This window comes from Homo sapiens, chromosome 10 (genome assembly GCF_000001405.40).
Source record: "Homo sapiens chromosome 10, GRCh38.p14 Primary Assembly".
Classification (NCBI taxonomy): Eukaryota; Metazoa; Chordata; class Mammalia; order Primates; family Hominidae; genus Homo; species Homo sapiens.
Window position 1 is genome coordinate 103,230,592 of NC_000010.11, and position 19,013 is coordinate 103,249,604.

The 19,013-nt window shown below is 45.4% G+C and overlaps 1 protein-coding gene across 1 annotated transcript, besides 5 other annotated features; it reads left to right on the forward strand.

Moving 5' to 3' along the window:
* Window positions 247–1,244: an enhancer, noted in NCBI's record as "OCT4-NANOG-H3K27ac-H3K4me1 hESC enhancer chr10:104990595-104991592 (GRCh37/hg19 assembly coordinates)". NCBI's record gives its function as "activates a minimal SCP1, AML or CMV promoter by ChIP-STARR-seq in naive H9 embryonic stem cells {active_cell/tissue: H9 hESC(naive)}" and the evidence as "EXISTENCE:reporter gene assay evidence [ECO:0000049][PMID:30033119]".
* Window positions 1,245–2,242: an enhancer, noted in NCBI's record as "H3K27ac hESC enhancer chr10:104991593-104992590 (GRCh37/hg19 assembly coordinates)". NCBI's record gives its function as "activates a minimal SCP1, AML or CMV promoter by ChIP-STARR-seq in primed H9 embryonic stem cells {active_cell/tissue: H9 hESC(primed)}" and the evidence as "EXISTENCE:reporter gene assay evidence [ECO:0000049][PMID:30033119]".
* Window positions 9,702–9,801: an enhancer, noted in NCBI's record as "active region_3954". NCBI's record gives its function as "activates an Ori minimal core promoter by ATAC-STARR-seq in GM12878 lymphoblastoid cells {active_cell/tissue: GM12878}" and the evidence as "EXISTENCE:reporter gene assay evidence [ECO:0000049][PMID:35858748]".
* Window positions 11,313–11,362: a silencer, noted in NCBI's record as "silent region_2777". NCBI's record gives its function as "represses an Ori minimal core promoter by ATAC-STARR-seq in GM12878 lymphoblastoid cells {active_cell/tissue: GM12878}" and the evidence as "EXISTENCE:reporter gene assay evidence [ECO:0000049][PMID:35858748]".
* Window positions 14,165–14,214: an enhancer, noted in NCBI's record as "active region_3955". NCBI's record gives its function as "activates an Ori minimal core promoter by ATAC-STARR-seq in GM12878 lymphoblastoid cells {active_cell/tissue: GM12878}" and the evidence as "EXISTENCE:reporter gene assay evidence [ECO:0000049][PMID:35858748]".
* Window positions 15,296–17,425, forward strand: RPEL1 (ribulose-5-phosphate-3-epimerase like 1). Its single transcript, NM_001143909.1, has one exon. The coding sequence runs from the start codon at window positions 15,406–15,408 to the stop codon at window positions 16,090–16,092; it is 687 nt and encodes a 228-aa protein (NP_001137381.1). The 5' UTR covers window positions 15,296–15,405; the 3' UTR covers window positions 16,093–17,425.
* Window positions 17,426–19,013: the final 1,588 nt, after the last annotated feature.

Genomic DNA, 19,013 nt, shown 5'->3' on the forward strand with positions numbered 1-19,013 from the left:
TGACCCTTCGTGTTAATGCACTGTGACTTTTGGCAAGGCCCTTAACCATTCAGACTTGGTTTGCTTATCCACAAAGTAGAGGCAGTAATATCTGCTCTGCATTTCTCAAGATTATGCGGAGACTCAAGTAATGGCTGTGAATGTGGTTTTAAAGCACAGTACAGTGATAAGGGAATGAATATTTGTAAATCTCAGCCCCTACCCTGTTCTAGTCAGGGCCCCAGGTGCCCCCACTACGATTATAGCAAGGGGCCAGGCACAATGGCTCACGCCTGTAATCCCAGCACTTTGGGAGGCCAAGGTGGGAGGATCACTTGAGGCCAGGATTTCCAGCTAGCCTGGGCAACATAGTGAGACCCCCATTGGTACAAACATTAAAAAAAGAAAAAAGATTAGCCAGGCGTGGTAGCACGTATATGTAGGTCTAGCTGCTCAGGAGGCTGAAGGAGGAGTTCAAGGTTTCAGTGAGCTATGATTGCACCACTGTATTCCAGCCTGGGCGACAGAGCAGGACTCTGTCCCTTGGGGAAAAAAAAAAGGATTATACCGATTACCAAGGACTCTTTCCTCCTCCCTTTCCTTTAACCATAATACAGAACTCCAGGGTATCTAGACTCCCAGGCCTTGGGTTAGAGCTGTAGAGTAGGGAAGAACCATTGTTTTCTCTTTCTCAGAGCACTGGTCCCCAGGTTTCTCCTGGATGAAGTGAGCTGCTAAATTTAAACACTCAGGAATCCACAAATACTCTTGGAATTCCAGCTTAGTGAGCTTGTTCAATAATGCTTCCTGTTAAACTAACAAAGGGTGATAGCAGAAGAATGCCCAGAGACATTCCATTCCCCTGCGTCCACGGAATTCTGCAGCTCAACTTTCTAGTGTGTTACATTAGAAAGAAACTTTAGATTGGTGTTTCTCAATTCTGGCTGAACATTAGAATCACCAGGGGAGCCTCTGCAAAATGCCCATGCCCAAGTTGTACCTCACACCAATTAAGTCAGAATTTTTAGCAGAGGGACCCAGATATTAGCTTTTTTTTTTTTTTTTTTTTGAGACAGAGTCTTGCTCTGTCACCCAGGCTGGAGTACAGAGGCACGATTTCTGCTCACTGCAACCTCCACCTCTGGGTTCAACCAATTCCCCTGCCTCAGCCTCCCAAGTAGCTGGGACTACAGGCGCCCACCACCATACTCGGATAATTTTTTGTATTTTTCGTAGTTTTTGTATTTTTGTATTTTCGTTTCACTATATTGGTCAGGCTGGTCTCAAACTCCTGACTTTGTGATCCGCTTGCCTTGTCCTCCCAAAGTGCTGGGATTATAGTCATGAGCCACCACACCAAGCTAATTTTTGTATTTTTAGTAGAGACGGGGTTTCACCATTGTTGACCAGGATGGTCTCGATCTGTTGACCTCATAATCCACCTGCCTCAACCTCCCAAAGTGCTGGGATTACAGGTGAGAGCCACCGCGTCTGGCCAATATTAGCATTCTTAAAGCTCCCCAGGTGATTACAAAGTGTAGCCTACTTTGGGAATCACGACTCTAGGTGATCCAGGGAGAAGGAAAAACAGGCCTTAGGAACTTAAGATTTTTGTCTAAAGTCATACAGCTGATTAGAGTTTGAGATCTCAATTCAACAAGCTGATGGAAGCAATGGCTAATTTTTGTTGGGCATTTTACTCTGATCCAGAGTAAGCACTAAGCACTTTACAAACACAATCTTAATTAATTTTCACAATGATCCTATGAGAAAACTGAGGCCCAGAGAGTTTGACTAGTTTGCTGAATGTCAAAGCAACTAAATAGTGGCAGAGATCGAGTTCAATTGTTTGAGCAGCATGCAGATGACAAGATAGGAATAGTAACCCTGCCCTTAAGGAATGTAGAGTCTAGTGGGAGGGACAGGAAGCCGGTGAGCCAACAATTAAAACACAATCTGATAAGGGTTACCATAAAATTAAAGGTTGGCTGGGTGTAAACCCAACACTTTGGGAGGCCGAGGCAGGTGGATCACAAAGTCAGGAGTTCAAGACCAGCCTGGCCAAGATGGTGAAACCCCATCTCTACTAAAAATACAAAAATTAGCCAGGCATGGTGGCGGGTAGCTGTAATCCCAGCCACTCGGGAGGCTGAGGCAGAGAATTGTTTGAACCCGGGAGGCGGAGGTTGCAGTGAGCCAACATTGCACCACTGCACTCCAGCTTGGGCGACAGAGCAAGACTCTGTCTCAAAAATAAATAAATAAATTAAATTAAATTAAATTAAATTAAAGGTTACCAAGGAAGGCACTTAACTTGTGGAACAGCCAAAGAAGCCTCCCAGAGGAGGAAGTACTTGAAGGAAGCTTTAAAGGTTGAGTGGAACTTAGTTTAGTGAACAGCAAGGTAGGGAGGAAGTGGGCCTAGCAAGTGGAAAGGTGACTTCGGAGAGCAAGGTGAATGCTTGCAGCTGTGCAGGAAATTCAGAATGACAACGGATTACCTTGTTAGTGAGAGATGAGACTGAGGAAGTATGGAGACCAGGTCGTTCAGGTTAAGAAGTTTAAAAGAAAGAAGCATTCCAGGATTACAAAGAGGACAGTGAAAGGATCAACTATATACAAGTGTGTATTTAAAAGATTATTGGAGGTTGGGCATGGTGACTCATGCCTATTGCGGCCAGCACTTTGGGAGGTTGAGACAGGCAGATCGCTTGAGCTTGGGAGTTCAAAAAAAAGGGGCAACATGATGAAATCCCATCTCTACAAAAAGTACAAAAATTAGCTGGGTGTTGTGGCATGCCCCTGTAGTCCTAGCTACTAGGGAGGCTGAGGTGGGAGGATCACCTGAGCCTGGGGAGGTGGAGCTGCAGTGAGCCATGATCGTGCCACTGCACTCCAGCCTGGGCAACAGAGTGAGACCCTGTCTCAAAAAAATAAAATAAAATAAAAAGAAAGATTGATTACTGGAGGATATGACACCAAAAACATAGGTAACAACAGAAAAAAACAGGCAAAATAGGCTATATAAAAACTTAAGGACTTTTGGACATCAAAGTATACTATCAACAGAATAAAAGGGCAACTCACATAATGGGAGAAAATATTTGCAAATCATATATCTGATAAGGGCTAATATCCAGAATACATAGAGGACCCCTACAAAAATAAAAAAAAAACCGAACAGCCCAATTTAAAAATGGGCAATGTCGGCCAGGTGCGGTGCCTCACACCTATGATCCCAGCACTTTGGGAGGCTGGGGCAGGTGAATCACCTGAGCTCAGGAGTTCTAGACCAGCCTGGCCAACACGGCGAAAACCCATCTCTACTAAAAATACAAAAATTAGACAGGCGTGGTGGCGCATGCCTGTAGTCCCAGCTACTCAGGAAGCTGAGGCAGCAGAATAGCTTGAACATGGGAGGCAGAGGTTGCAGTGAGCTGAGATCGCACCAGTGCACTCCAGTCTGGGTGACAGAGCAAGACTCCATCTCAAAAAAAAAAAAAAATTGCCAAAGTCCTTAGTTTAGACATTTCTCCAAATAAGATATACAAATGGCCAATAAGCACATGAAAAGATGTTCAACATCAGTAATCATTAGGGAAATGCAAATGAAAACCACAAGATACAGTGTCGCCTCACATGCAGTATGATGGCTATTTTAAAGACAAACAACAACAAAAAAAAACAAAATAACAAGTGTTGATAAGGATGTAGAGGAACTGGATCCCTGCATAGTGCTGGTGGGAATGTAAAGCGGTACAAACCACTGTGTATGGTGGCTCCTCAAAAAATTAAAAATAAAATTGCCATATGATCCAGCAATTCCACTTCTGGACACATCCCAAAAAGAAAGCAGGGTCTTGGCCTGGCATGGTGGCTCACGCCTGTAATTCCAATACTTTGGGAGGCTGAGGCAGGTGGATCATCTGAGATCAGGAGTTCGAGACCAGCCTGACCAACATGGTGAAATCCTGTCTCTACTAAAAATACAAAAAAAAAAAAAAAATTAGCCAGCTGTGGTGGTGCATGCCTGTAGTCCCAGCTACTTGGGGGGCTGAGGCAGGAGAAACACTTGGATCCAGGAGGTGGAGGTTGCAGTGAGCCAAGATTGCACCACTGCACTCCAGCCTGGGCAACAGAGCAAGACTCTGTCTCAAAAACAAAAACAAAAACAAAAACAAAAAAAAACAAAGAAAGCAGGGTCTTGAAGAGACACTGTATACTTATGTTCCTAACAGCATTATTCATGATAGCCAAAAGGTAGAAGCAACTCAAGTGCCCATCAGCAGATGAATGGATAAACAAAATTTGACATATACATACACACCCAAACCGCTGGATTATTCAGCCTTAAAAAGGAAGGATATTCTAAACCTTGAAGACATTATGCTAAGTGAAATAACCCAGTAACAAAAGGATGCATCCTGTATAGCTCTGCTTACATGAGGTACCTAGAGCAGTCAAATGTATGGAGATAGAAAGCAGATGATGGAGCTGGGTGCAGTTGCTCACACCTGTAATCCCAGCACTTTGGGAGGCTGAGGCAGGCAGATCACCTAAGGTCAGGAATTCGAGAGTAGCCTGGCCAACATGGTGAAACCCCATCTCTACTAAAATACAAAAAAAACTAGCTGGGAGTGGTGGTGGGTGCCTGTAATGCCAGCTACTTGGGAAACTGAGGCAGGAGAATTGTTTGAACCCTGGAGGCGGAGGTTACAGTGAGCCAAGACTGCACCACTGCACTCCAGCCTGGGCAAGAAGAATGAAACTCCATCTCAAAAACAAACAACAACAAAAAGAAAGTAGATGACAGCAGTTGCCAGGGGCTGGGGGAGGAGGAATGGAGACTTTCTGAAGCTCTGATAGAGCTTCAGTTTGTGAAGATGAAAGGGATCTGTAGAGGCCGGGTGCAGTGGCTCACGCCTGTAATCCCAGCACTTTGGGAGGCCGAGGCGGGCAGATCATGAGGTCAGGAGATCAAGACCATCCTGGCTAACATGGTGAAACCCCATCTCTACTAAAAATTAACAAATTAGCCAGGCGTGGTGGCGGGCACCTGTTGTCCCAGCTACTTGAGAGGCGGAGGCAGGAGAATGGCGTGAACCTGGGAGGTGGAGCTTGCAGTGAGCCGAGATTGCGCTACGCACTCCAGCCTGGGTGACAGAGCAAGACTCCATCTCAAAAAAAAAAAAAAAAAGGATCTGTAGATAGATGGTGATAATGGTTGCACAACAATGTGAACTGAAGTGTACACTTTAAAATGATTAAATAATAAATTTTGTTATGTCTATTTTACCGCAATAAAAAAATGGTCAGCTGGGCATGGTGGCTCACACCTGTAATCCCAACACTTTGAGAGGCCAAGGTGGGAGGATCACTTGAGTCCAGGAATTAGAGACCAGCCTGGGCAACATAGCAAGACCCCATCTCTACAAAAAAGTGAAAAAACAAAACAAAACATAATCCTTGGAGAAAAATAATTGGCAAGAGTGTTAACAGATTTAGAGAAGTAAAAGACTCAATAGAGGCACATCAGTTAGAGAGCCAATGCCCAGAGGCAGAGACCTGACAAGGGCCTGTACTATTAGACACCGGCAGGAGAGCTGCAGGGAAGAGATACTAGAGTTTTTCAGGGACTGGCTGGATGCAGTGTGAGGAAGAACGAGGAGCCAAGGGCTACTCCCAGGGTTCTGACTTGAGGGACTGGGCAACAGGGGTGTCCATCACTAAGACAGGGACCACAAGGGAGCAGGGAAGAACAGAATTCTGAGAAGGTGATGAGTTCAGCTTTGGACACGTTGAGTTTGAAGTGCCTGGGAAACATCCAGGTGGCAATATCTCAAAGGAATCAGATATACCACCTGGATTGCAAATGATTGGATTTTTGTTTGTTTGTTTGAGATGGAGTCTCGCTCTGTTGCCCAGGCTGGAGTGCAGTGGCACCATCTCGGCTCACTGCAAGCTCTGCCTCCCGGGTTCACGCCATTCTCCTGCCTCAGCCTCCTGAGTAGCTGGGACTACAGGCGCCCGCCACCACGCCTGGCTAATTTTTTTGTATTTTTTTTAGTAGAGACGGGGTTTCATCATGTTAGCCAGGATGGTCTCGATCTCCTGACCTCGTGATCCGCCCGCTTCTGCCTCCCAAAGTGCTGGGATTACAGGCGTGAGCCACCGCGCCAGGCCAAATGATTGGATTTTTAAAGTATGATAATAGTATTGTGGGTTTTTTTTTTTTAAAGTTTGTACCTTTTTATAGAGGATGGGGTGAATGGGGCAGGATTGGTTATGGGTTGATGGTTATTGGGGCTGGATCATAAGTACATGGAAATTCATGATGCAATTCTGTTCAAAATTCACCATAATAAAAAGTGTTTAAAATAATAATAAAGATATAAACCTATAGGCTGGAGACTGAGACATTATTTTATTATTAATGATAATAATACAAATTACTGCCATTTAGTGAGCCTCTACGTTATGCCAGGGGCTTTGCTGGGCCCTTTATGTGCATAAATTGTATTTTTCATGACAATCCCCATTTTATTAAGATTCACAGATGTTAGATGTCTTCCACAGTAAGTGGTAAGCATTAGATTCTACAAGCTATAGCAGACAAAGCAAATAAAAGACGATAAAAGAACTAAACAAGGAAAAGTATGGACTGCTGACATTTGGGAATAGGAAGAGGACGCCACAAAGAAGGTAGTAGATGGGTCAGGCACGGTGGCTCATGCTTGCAGTTTCAGAGCTTTAGGAGGGTGAGTCGGGAGGATCACTTGAGGCCAGGAGTTCAAGATTAGCCTGGGCAATATAACAAAACCCCGTCTCCACCAAAGAATCTTTTTGTTTTTAATTAGCCAAGCATGGTGGTGCATGTCTGTAGTTTCAGCTACTCAGGAGGCTCAAGCAGAAGGATTGCTTGAGCTCAGGAGTTCAAGGCTACAGTGAGCTAAGATCACACCACTGCACTCCAGCCTAGATGACAGAATCAGGCCCTGTCTCTTTTTTTTTTTTTTTTTTTTTTGAGATGGAGTCTCTCTCTGTCGCCCAGGCTGGAGTGCAGTGGCGCAATCTCAGCTCACTGCAAGCTCCGCTTCCCGGGTTCACGCCATTCTCCTGCTTCAGCCTCCCAAGTAGCTGGGACTACAGGTCCCCACCACCACGCCCAGCTAATTTTTTGTATTTTTAGTAGAGACGAGGTTTCACCGTATTAGCCAGGTTGGTCTCGACCTCCTGACCTCGTGATCCGCCCACCTCGGCCTCCCAAAGTGTCGGGATTACGGGCGTGAGCCACCAGGCCCGGCCAGGCCCTGTCTCTAAAAAAAAAAGACTGGGTGCAGTCTTTTTTTTACGCCTGTAATCCCAACACTTTGAGAGGCCAAAGCAGACAGATAGATCACCTAAGGTCAGGAGTTCAAGACCAGCCTGGCCAACATGGCGAAAACCCATCTCTACTAAAAATACAAAAAGTAGCCAGGATTGGTGGTGGGCACTTGTAGTCCCAGCTACTCGGGAGGCTGAGGCATGAGAATCATTTGAACCTGGGAGGCAGAAGTTGCTATGAGCTAAGATTGCACCACTACCTTTCAGCCTGGGTGACAGAGTGAGACTCCGTCTCAAAAAAAAAAAAAAGGAACAAAGAGAGTGCTTTGCAAACGAAGGAAGAACAAAAGAACAACAGAGGTTCCAGAAGACAGGAGTAGTTCATAGTGTCAAATGCCACACAAAGTGCAAGCAAAATAGCAATTGAAAACTACCTGCAGCCGGGTGCGGTGGCTCACGCCTGTAATCCCAGCACTTTGGGAGGCCCAGGCAGGCGGATCACCTGAGGCTAGAAGTTCAAGACCAGCCTGGCCAACATGGTGAAACCCTGTCTCTACTAAAAAATATACACAAAATTATCTGGGCATGGTGGCGGGCGCCTGTAGTCCCAGCTACTTGAGAGGCTGAGGCAGGAGAATTGCTTGAACCCGGGAGGCTGAGGCTGCAGTGAACCGAGATCGTGCCATTGCACTCCAGCCTGGGCAACAAGAGTGAAATTCCATCTCAAAAACAAACAAACAAAGAAACAAACAAAAAGCTACTTGCTAGATTGTGCAATTAGGAGGTTGCTGTGGCCTTGGGAAGAACAACTGGAGAGGTGGGGCCAGAAATGGAGTTAAGGGTGAGTGGGTAGCAAACAGGGCCTGCTCTTTTGATAAGCTCTGCTGTGAAGTGAACTTCCAAGACTGGCTTATAGCTAGAGAGAGGTACCTTTCTGAGGTGAGAGAAGCTTGACTGTTTATGTATGGAAGGAAAAGCCAGAAAGGAGAGAGTGAGGATGGAGGGAAGTGTGCTGCTGAGGATGGAGCCGAGCGCCGAGGAATTGGGAAGGATGGAATCCAGCACACACTGAGGGACTGGCCTCAGACAGCAAGAGGAGCACCACCCTGTGGACAAGAATGAAGAAAGGAGGCACTCATGGGCTGGGGTTTGGGAAAGAGATACAGGGAGCTGGGAGTAGGGGAAGGGAGTAAACCGATGGCAAGGAAGTTCCGGCCAGAGACCAGTTTGTTGGCATTTCTGAGCTGGACAATCATGACAAGGTCCAGGGCGTGCCTGACTGAGGCAGTTACGTCACTAGAGTTAGAAGGTCAAGAATTCTGAAATGGATAATCCTCGGGAACAGGTCTAGGGTGGAGAAAAAGTCTGGTAGGATCTATCCTCAGAGACAGATCAAGAGAAAGCTGTTTCTTGGCCTCCCACACAAACACATTGGGATTTTAAAAAATATTTCTTAGTCCTAGCTCATAACTTACCTAACTACTTTTGCCACAGTGTAAACCCATAGCTTCCTCAAGAAAAGATCAAACATTTAGAAAAAGTTAGACTGAAACTGTGAAGCAGGAGTCTGCCTGATAAATGTGGCTCTGTCCACTACATAATGGGTTTAATCTACATTTCCTTTTTTTTTTTTTTTTTTTTTTGTTGAGACAGGGTCTTGCTCTGTTGCCCAGGGTGGAGTGCAGTGGCACAATCACAGCTCACTGCAACCTTGACTTCCTGGGTTTCAGCGATCCTCCCACCTCAGCCTCCTGAGTAGCTGGGACTACAGGCAGGTGCCACCATGCCCATCTAATTTTTTTTTTTTTGGGGGGGGGACAAAGTCTCGCTCTGTTGCCAGGCTGGAGCACAGTGGCACGATCCCGGCTTACTGCAACCTCCACCACCTGGGTTCAAGCGATTCTCCTGCCTCGGCCTCCTGAGTAGCTGGGATTACAGGCACGCCCCACCATGCCCAGCTAATTTTTGTATTTTTAGTAGAGATGGGATTTCACCATGTTGGCCAGGATGGTCTCGATCTCTTCACCTCTTGATCCGCCTGCCTCAGTCTCCCAAAGTGCTGGGATTACAGGTGTGAGCCACTGTGCCCGGCCTTTTTTTATTTTCTGTAGGGATGAGGTCTCACTATGTTGCCCAGGTTGGTCTCAAACTCCTAGGCTCAAACCATTCTCCCGCCTTGGTCTCCCAAAGTGCTGGGATTACAGGCGTGAGCCACCATGCCTGGCCTTAATCTACTTTTCTGATTTAGACTATGACCTGGTCTCCATTCATTCTTCATTCATTCATTCATTCATTCATTCATTCAGCAACATGCATTAAATGCCCTCTCCCTGCCAGGTATTTTGCTAGGCTCTGGGGATTCAAAATGAAACATCCATGGTCCTTAGGGAGTTCACAAACAAGTGAAGGAGCCAATAATTAGCTCTGACGACATAAGAAGATACTATAGCAGAGGTGGGTAGAAAGTGCAATGGATCACGTGGACACAGAGAAAGCAACCTGGATTCGGGGAAAGCAGCACAGAAGAGCTGATGTGTGAGACGAAGCTTAAAGGAGAAGCAGAGTGCACCAGGCTGCAAAATGCAGGAAGTGAGAAAGGTGTGACTACCCAGATACAGTCAGGAAACTCAACAATCTGGTTTGGCAGAGCAGTAGTTCTTAAACTGTATTCTACACAAAAATCAGCCCCGGTATCATTAAAATGCAGGTTCCGAGGTATCAGCAACAGCTGGCTCAGTAGTTCTGGAGCACAGGAATTTGCATTTTCCATTCAGTAGGTCTCGTGCCCAGGAATCATGTCCTGAATGATTCTGAAGAAGATGGTCCACAGACTACACTGAGAAACACTGGGCTAGAGTACGGGGCACATGGCAGGAGGAAGGAGAGGGGATTGGGATGAAGAAGAAAATTATTTTTATTTTTATTTTTTGAGACAGAGTCTTGCTCTGTCGCCCAGGCTAGAGTGCAGTAGCGTAATCTCAGCTCACTGCAACCTCCACCTCCCGGATTCCAGCGATTCTCCTGCCTCAGCCTCCCAAGTAGTTGGGACTACGGGCGTGCACCACCACGCCTGGCTAATTTTTGTATTTTTAGTAGAGATGGGGTTTCACCATGTTCGCCAGGCTGGTCTTGAACTCCTGGCCTCAGGTGATACACCCTCCTTGGCCTCCCAAAGTGCTGGGATTACAGGCGTGAGCCACTGCGCCTGGCCCGAAGCAGAAATTTTGGTCAGGACCACATTGTGCTAAGGAAATGGGAGCTGAGTTTATAGGCAGTGAGGCATCCTTTGGGAAAGCCCTGATGAAATGCATTGGAAAGCCCAGTCTAGAGGCAGTATCAATGACGGCCTGGAGAAAAAGAGGGTCACTGTATGTAGGGAAGGCATGAAGGATCTCTGTAACGGAAAGGATTCAGAGATCAAACCACAACAAGGACCCTGATGCTAATACCCACTCATGAGCTAGGGGCTGCAGGACATGCCCCAGCTCCTAGGAGACAAGTACCCTGCTGAGCAGACAAATAGCCTGGACTTTGTAACAGCCAAAGTGGCCCACATGGCACTCGCGGGGCTGTGCAGCATCCAGGCAGGGGACACTGCCTGGCATTCTAAAGGCCTGTGCTGAGTCATCTTTCACAGGAACCAGCTTCTCAAGTCTCTGGGATCCTGTTTTACAGGCTGTTACTAACCTTCCCTTGGCTTCCAGGCCAAGGAAGAAGAAAGAATAAATATTAACCAAAGGTACGGCTGTGGCAGGGTGCCCAGGGCCCCTCCCTTTCCTTCTCTCCCCGTACCCCCTGCCCTAGAAGCTACAATAAACTGCTGATCTCCCGGTTTCATGATCATCTTGGCTGATCCTGCAGAAAAGGGACAGAGGTGAGCACCTCTCAGAGCAGCCCTGAGGCTGGAGAGGACTTGGTGGTAACCTGCTGTTTTTCTGGGAGGGGCCCTAGAGCTGGCTAAGGAGAACTCACATGACTGCCTGGGCCTGACTTCCAGGGAGGGGCTCTCACCACACCAGACTGTTTCTCAGGGTAATTTCCCAGTTGACTGGCACAAAGGGGTGACTGCATAACACTATTCCCTTTCTTGGGTTTCGATTTCCTCCTCTGTAAGATGATGAAGTTGGACTCCAAGAACCGCACCTCGTCCTATCATTCCATGAGCTCAGCTGATTGGGGCTAAACATTCTCTGCTGGGTGCTGCTTTCCTCCAACATCCCACCCTCACGAGGGCCAGGAGGTATTTCGGATCCCCTCGGGACATACCCATCTATTTATTTATTGTTTTCTTTTCAATTTTTTTTTTTTTTTTTTTTGAGATGAGTCTTACTCTGTCACCCAGGTTGGAGTGCAGTGTTGCAATCTCAGCTCACTGCAACTTCTGCCTCCCGGGTTCAAGTGATTCTCCTGCTTCAGCCTCCCAAGTAGCTGGGATTACAGGCTCCTGCCACTGTGCCTGGCTAATTTTTGTATTTTTAGTAGAGATGGGGTTTCACCATGTTGGTCAGGCTGGTCTCAAACTCCTGACCTCAGGTGATCCGCCTGCCTTGGCCTCCCAAAGTGCTGGAATTACAGGCGTGAGATTACAGGCGTGAGCCTCTGCTCCTGGCCTATTTATTTATTGCTGTCTGAGCAATTACTACTAGGAGCAATTAATAACAGCCAACATTTTTTAGTCCATTCTATGTGTCAGGCACTGTTAAGCATCTCATATTTATACATTATCTTATTTGCTCATCACAACAACTCTGTGAAGTAAATACTATTATTATTTCATAAATGAAAAAATTGAGGCTCAGATAAATTAAGTAACTTGTCCAAGAACATTCAGCCAGTAAAACAGCTGAGACCCTATCAGCTCCAGGTCAGTAAACTCCAAAGCCCATGGTCTTTCCATTCTATCACACTTACAACACTGGTTAACCAAGGACCAGTGAAGTGCAGATCACAGCCTCTACCAGGGTTGCTGGGGAAGGGGGTTGGGGTGGGGCCTGGGGAGAGGGAGGGGAGTAAAGATAGACCCAGTGATGAAATTATTTTTATTTATTTATTTATTTATTTATTTATTTTGAGACAGAGTCTCGCTCTGTCACCCAGGGTAGAGTGCAGTGGCACGATCTCAGCTCACTGCAACCTCCACCTCCCGGGTTCAAGTGATTCTCCTGCCTCAGCCTCCCAAGCAGCTGGGACTACAGGCACACGCCACCACACCCAACTAATTTTTGTATTTTTAGTAGAGACGGGGTTTCACTATATTGGCCAGGCTGGTCTTGAACTCCTGACCTCGTGATCCACCCGCCTCCACCTCCCAAAGTGCTAGGATTACAGGCATGAGCCACCACGCCCGGCCTGAAATTATTTATTGAATGAGAATAATAATGGTGACTGCTTCAATTGATGATTGTGAGAATTAAAGAAATAATAAGTTCATAAGTGCTTTTAAAGGCAGCTAGTGATATATAACAGTAACTATTGTTATTAATAAATGCTATATAACCATTTATGTAGTTGTCATTTTTTAAACTGTGTTAACATACACATAACATAAAATTTGCCATCTTGCCAGGCGCGGTGGCTCTCGCCTGTAATCCCAGCACTTTGGGAGGATGAGGCAGGCAGATCACCGGAGGTTGGGAGTTCGAGACCAGCCTGAGCAACACGGAGAAATCCCGTCTCTACTAAAAATACAAAATTAGCCAGGCATGGTGGCGCATGCCTGTAATCCCAGCTACTCAGGAGGATGAGGCAGGAGAATTACTTGAACCCAGGAGGTGGAGGTTGCAGTGAGCCGAGATCATGCCATTGCACTCTAGCCCGGACAATAAGAGTGAAACTCTGTATCCAAAAAAAAAAAAATTGCCATCTTAGGCTGGGTGCAGTGGCTCATGCCTGTAATCCCAGCACTTTGGGAGGCTAAGGCAGGCAGATTGCTTGAGCTCAGGAGTTTGAGACCAGCCTGGGCAACATAGCAAAATCCCATCTCTCCAGAAAAATAGCTGGGTGTGGTGGCATGCCTGTGATCCCAGCTACTTTGGGGGGCTGAGGTGGGAGGATCGCTTGAGCCCAGGATTTTGAGGCTGCAGTAAGCCAAGATTCCACCACTGCACTCCAGCCTGGGGGACAGAGTGAGACCCTGCCTAAAAACCGACCGGGCGCAGTGGCTCACGCCTGTAATCCCAGCACTTTGGGAGGCCGAGGCGGGTGGATCATCTGAGCTCAGAAGTTGGAGACCAGCCTGGCCAACATGGTGAAACCCCCTCTCTACTAAAAAATACAAAACTTAGCCAGGCATGCTGGCAGGTGCCTTAATCCCAGCTACTTGGGAGGCAGAGGCAGGAGAATCGTTTGAATCCGGGAGGCAGAGGTTGCAGTAAACCAACATAAAGCCATTGCACTCAAAACTGGGGGACAAGAGTGAGACTTCTCTCAAAAAAAAAAAATTGCCATTTTGACCACTTTTAAATATACAGTTCAGCGATATTAAATGTATTCATATTGTTGTGCAACCATCACCACCATCCATCTCCAGAATTTTTTCATCTTATCAAACTGAAACTGCCATTGGTTCTTAATAGTTATTAATATAAGCTTTTATTATTATGCTAAATATTTGTATGCTCCTGTCTCCTTAACAAAAGGCAGTAAGTTGTAGTAGAGGGCACGAGGTAGAGATTTTGGCCCTTGGTTCAAATTCAGATTCCCGCACAGTCTAAATGAACTTGAATAATTCACTTAAATCCTCAACATCGGTTCCTCTAGGTAGATAATACCAACACATAGAGACCACACAGGGTTGTAGTTAGTATTCTATCAGATCACCGGGGTTAAAGTACTTTGAAAACTCCATGCAAAGTGCTCCACAAATATTAGATTGGTGGACACTTTCATGCTCCTAGATCAGCTCTTGGAACAAACTAGGAACTGAATGAACCCTGATGCTCCAAGTTGTTGGGCCATACTGCCTCCTGGTGGTAGTCATGAAACGTGCAGAGTCTTTGCTGCTTGGGGTGCTCCTGGGGTTGGTTGGGTAAGATCAGGAGCTGGCCGAGAATGTGAGGAAAACCCAAAGTACCCGGCCAGGGAGGGTATTTTTCCTTCCCCGCTGAAGACACTCCCCAGGCCAGTCCCTTGACGATGGAAGAGTCAGTCTCCTCTCTGTGCTCTCAACTTTCTCTTACTGCTTTTGCTTATGCTGTTCCACCTTCCAACTGGTGCCTCTTCCAAACCCTAAATCTTCAGACCTTCTCATATCCAACTCTTCCAGAAGGGATCCCTGAACCATGCCTCCCAGGGTATCCCGCACCATTTTTGTTTGTTTGTTTGAGACGGAGTCTTGCTCTGTCACCCAGGCTGAGTGCAATGGCATTATCTCCGCTCACTGCAGCCTCCACCTCGCGGCTTCAAGTGATTCTCTTGTCTCACCCTCCCGAGTAGCAAAGGTTACAGGCACGTGCCACCACGCCCAGCTAATTTTTGTATTCTTAGTAGAGACAGGGTTTCACCATGTTGGCCAGGCTGATCTCGAACTCCTGACCTCAGCTGATCCACCTGCCTTGGCCTCCCAAAGTGCTGGGATTACAGGCGTGAGCCACCACACCTGGCCATCCCTCACCATTTTTTTAAACCTACAGAATTCACAGCCTGTACTTGACTGCTATTATATAGTTCTCTCCAAACTATGTTTCGGGGTTTCTTTTTTGTTTGTTTTCTGTCTCTTGTTTGAGACAGGGCCTCACTCTGTCGCCCAGGCTGGAGTGCAGTGGCGCAATCATGGCTCACTGAAGTCTCAGCCTCCCCGGCTCAAGCAATTCTCCTGCCTCAGCCTCCCGAGTACCTGGGACCACAGGCATGTGCCATCACACAGGCAAATTTTTTACTTTGTAAAAACGGGTTCCTATTATGTTGCCTAGGCTGGTCTCAAACACCTGGGCTCAAGTGATCCTTCTGCATTGGTTTCCTGAAGTGCTGGGATTACAGGCATGAGCCACTGTGCCTGGCCAAACTGTGGTTCTTTGGTAGAATTTCCTGGTTTTAAAAAAAAAAAAAGTGGGCTCTAGTCTTGCCGGGGACTCGTGGGGTAACTTGTTCTTGGGAGCCAGCGGTATGGCGTCGGGCTGCAAGATTGGCCCGTCCATCCTCAACAGCGACCTGGCCAATTTAGGGGCCAAGTGCCTCCAGATGCTAGACTCTGGGGCCGATTATCTGCATCTGGATGTAATGGATGGGCATTTTGTTCCCAACATCACCTTTGGTCACCCTGTGGTAGAAAGCCTTCGAAAGCAGCTAGGCCAGGACCCTTTCTTTGACATGCACATGATGGTGTCCAAGCCAGAACAGTGGGTAAAGCCAATGGCTGTAGCAGAAGCCAATCAGTACACCTTTCATCTCGAGGCTACTGAGAACCCAGGGACTTTGATTAAAGACATTCGGGAGAATGGGATGAAGGTTGGCCTTGCCATCAAACCAGGAACCTCAGTTGAGTATTTGGCACCATGGGCTAATCAAATAGATATGGCCTTGGTTATGACAGTGGAACCGGGGTTTGGAGAGCAGAAATTCATGGAAGATATGATGCCAAAGGTTCACTGGTTGAGGACCCAGTTCCCATCTTTGGATATAGAGGGCGATGGTGGAGTAGGTTCTGACACTGTCCATAAGTGTGCAGAGGCAGGAGCTAACATGACTGTATCTGGCAGTGCTATTATGAGGAGTGAAGACCCCAGATCTGTGATCAACCTATTAAGAAATATTTGCTCAGAAGCTGCTCAGAAACGTTCTCTTGATCGATGAAACCATAAGGAGCCCAATGTTTCTGTTCATGAAATCTCCCTTTTACTGGAAAACAGGAATATTGACTACCAAATCATCATGAAATTGAAGCTGTACTGCTTTTTTGAGCAGTTATTCATTCCAGTGATTAAAACTGATTGTGCAGAATATTCTAAGAGGTCAGAAATTGGTGTGTATAACTACATTTTTAGTGATGCAATTTAATGATTAGTGAGTAAGATACTGTTTTTATTGAGAGACTTGATTTTTATAAAGAGTAAAAATACGGCTGCATTAAGGTTACAAACAGAAAAGTGTCTTAATGCCTAAGGAGGGCATATTAGCTACACTACAAAAACAAATTTTGTCTGTACTTCTGAAAAGAATTTTGTTGTTTCTCAGCTGTTTTCCAAAAGCAAAGGAAGTCTTTATGGCTTTTTTCTATTTCATGTTATTTGTGATTTGTTTATAAGTTTGGGTGGGATGGCATACCATATTCTTGGTTCTTAAAATCTATCACTTTTCACCTTACACTTAATGTGTAAAAACTATAAAAACAATGCGTGAAACCCAGGGGTTCTAAAATACAAGCATAGATTTTATCAGGGTGTTTTTGTCAAAGCAGGTTATTCAGTGATTCCTCCCCACCATTCTTAAGGACGTTAAATAATGCTGTTGTGTTAGCTCTGAGTAGAAAGGAAAAAGTAAAAACCTCTGTATGGAAGTAATATTGGGTTGAATTCTGACTGCCCTTTTCTAGCTGGACCTTTAACAAATCACCCAGTCTTTTTTGTGTTTCTCTGAAGTCATTTATACATTAAATGTAATTATAACAACTGTGGGGTTGTGTTGAGAATTAAGAGGTAACACTATATATGTAAAGTTTCTAGTACTAGTCCCAGAATTTAGAATATGCTCAATACAAAGTAGATAGCATTATATAAGTTTATATTTTTGTGAGTTATAAAGTACTTTGATATATTCTCATTAAATCTGTAAATCACCTCTATAAGTAAGTGGTAATAATAAAGCAGATATTTTTGTCCCCATTTAAAAAAAAAAAAAAGTGTTCCCTAACAGTTTCCAGAGCACGAGCTGAAGGGATTGACGGGCTCCTCAAAGGCTATACACTTTTCATGGCCTTGTCTCTTCCAGGTACAGTGCTGGCTACTTTTACATATATGTTGTCAACAAATCCTCAGGATAATTCTAAGGCAATTCTACTGCAAATGAGATACTATCTTAATTTACAGTTGACAAAAACTGAGTCTCAGGAAGGTTGCCTGACCTGCTCAAGGTCATATAGCTAGTAAGGGTGCAGTATAGGTTCGAACCCACCTGCCTGATTACGTCTCCCATGCCAACTCCTATCCATTGGTAGCACCTGCCTGAAACAGTGACTTGAGAAAGAATTCCTAGGTTTTGAATTCTTAATTATTGAATTAAGAGGGTAAAGTGCCAGGTTTGATTAGTTGTGGCTGCCATGAGTGAGGAATGGTGAGTGGTGATGTACAAGCCTGGTATTTGCCATTTTCCCATTACCCCATGCCAGATAGTTCTACAGGAGGCTACTCAACTTGATTCTGAACATGGTTTTAAGAAAGAATGATCCAGCCTGGGCAACAATGTAAAACCCCATCTCTACAAAAAATACAAAAATTCTCCAGATGTGGTAGCATGTGCCTGTGGTCCCAGCCACTCGGGAGGCTGAGGTGGGAGGACCACTTGAGTATGGGAGGTCGAGGCTGCAGTGAGCTGAGATCACACCACTGCACTCCAGCCTGGGTGACAGAGTGAGACTTTGTCTCAAAAAATAAACTAAAACAAACAAAAAAAGGAATGATATGTTGAGTAGGCATGAGCTCTAATGTTAAGACTGACCTGTATTAAAACCCAGCTCATTTGTTTTTAGAACTTTGAGCAGTTACTTGGCCTGTTGAATGTTGAAGCCTTACATTCCATTTGTGTTAAATATGCATAATAATCTCTGGGTTGTTATGAGGTTTTAATGGGATTAATTCTGTAAATGCTCCTGGCATGGTTCCTGGCATAGAGTAAGTACTCAACTGGTGTTACTTCCCTCCCCCTCCCATCGCTCTGTCACCCAGGCGGGAGTGCAGTGGCACACTCTTGGCTCACTGCAACCCCGCCTCTGAAGTTCAAGCGATTCTCCTGCCTCAGCCTCCCAAGTAGCTGGGACTACAGTCGCCTGCCATCACACCCGGCTAATTTTAATAGAGTTGGGGTTTCACCATGTTGGCCAGGCTGGTCTCGAACTCCTGGCCTCAAGTAATCTTGATTACTTGAGTAATCAAAGTGCTCCCAAAGTGCTAGGATTACAGGCGTGAGCCACCACACCTGGCCCACTGCAATGTTTTTTACAATGATAAAAATTAGGGGGGAAAACCCCTAAATGTCTAGCTATTGAAGAATGACTAAATTATGTCAACTTGATGGAATATAATGCAGCTATTAAAAGTGAAAATTATAAACAATATTTTTAATACCTTAAGACTGTATAACAACATGAAAAATAATAAAATCAAAGTTAAAATTTATTTAAAAAGAATAGAAAATTACAGCAAAACAACCAGGAGAAAAAAATTTACCTTTGTTCTTTTGACAAGGCTGAATGAAAACTTAGTCTTAGACTTAGTTCTTTAATTATAACAAGAGCTCTAATTCTGAGTGAATCTCTGAAAGGGTAGCTATAATCTCCCAACATTTTGAACCCATTTGGCATGGGTTGGGGTGGCGGGAGGGCATTGTTCTTATTGAAGAAATAAGGAAAGAAAAGCCTTTGAATTAGGCCCTGACACTGCCTCCATGTCCAGGAAACGCTTTAAGAGCACCAAGTCATTAATCACAAGCTTTTAGAGCAGGAATAAGCCATTCTAATTAATTTCTTAAAAACAAATTTATTTTTGGAGACAGGGTCTCAC

What these genes read in the sequence shown, in the direction of transcription:
- RPEL1 (NM_001143909.1), top strand. Translation starts at nt 15,406, where the DNA reads ATGGCGTCGGGCTGCAAGATTGGCCCGTCCATCCTCAACAGCGACCTG.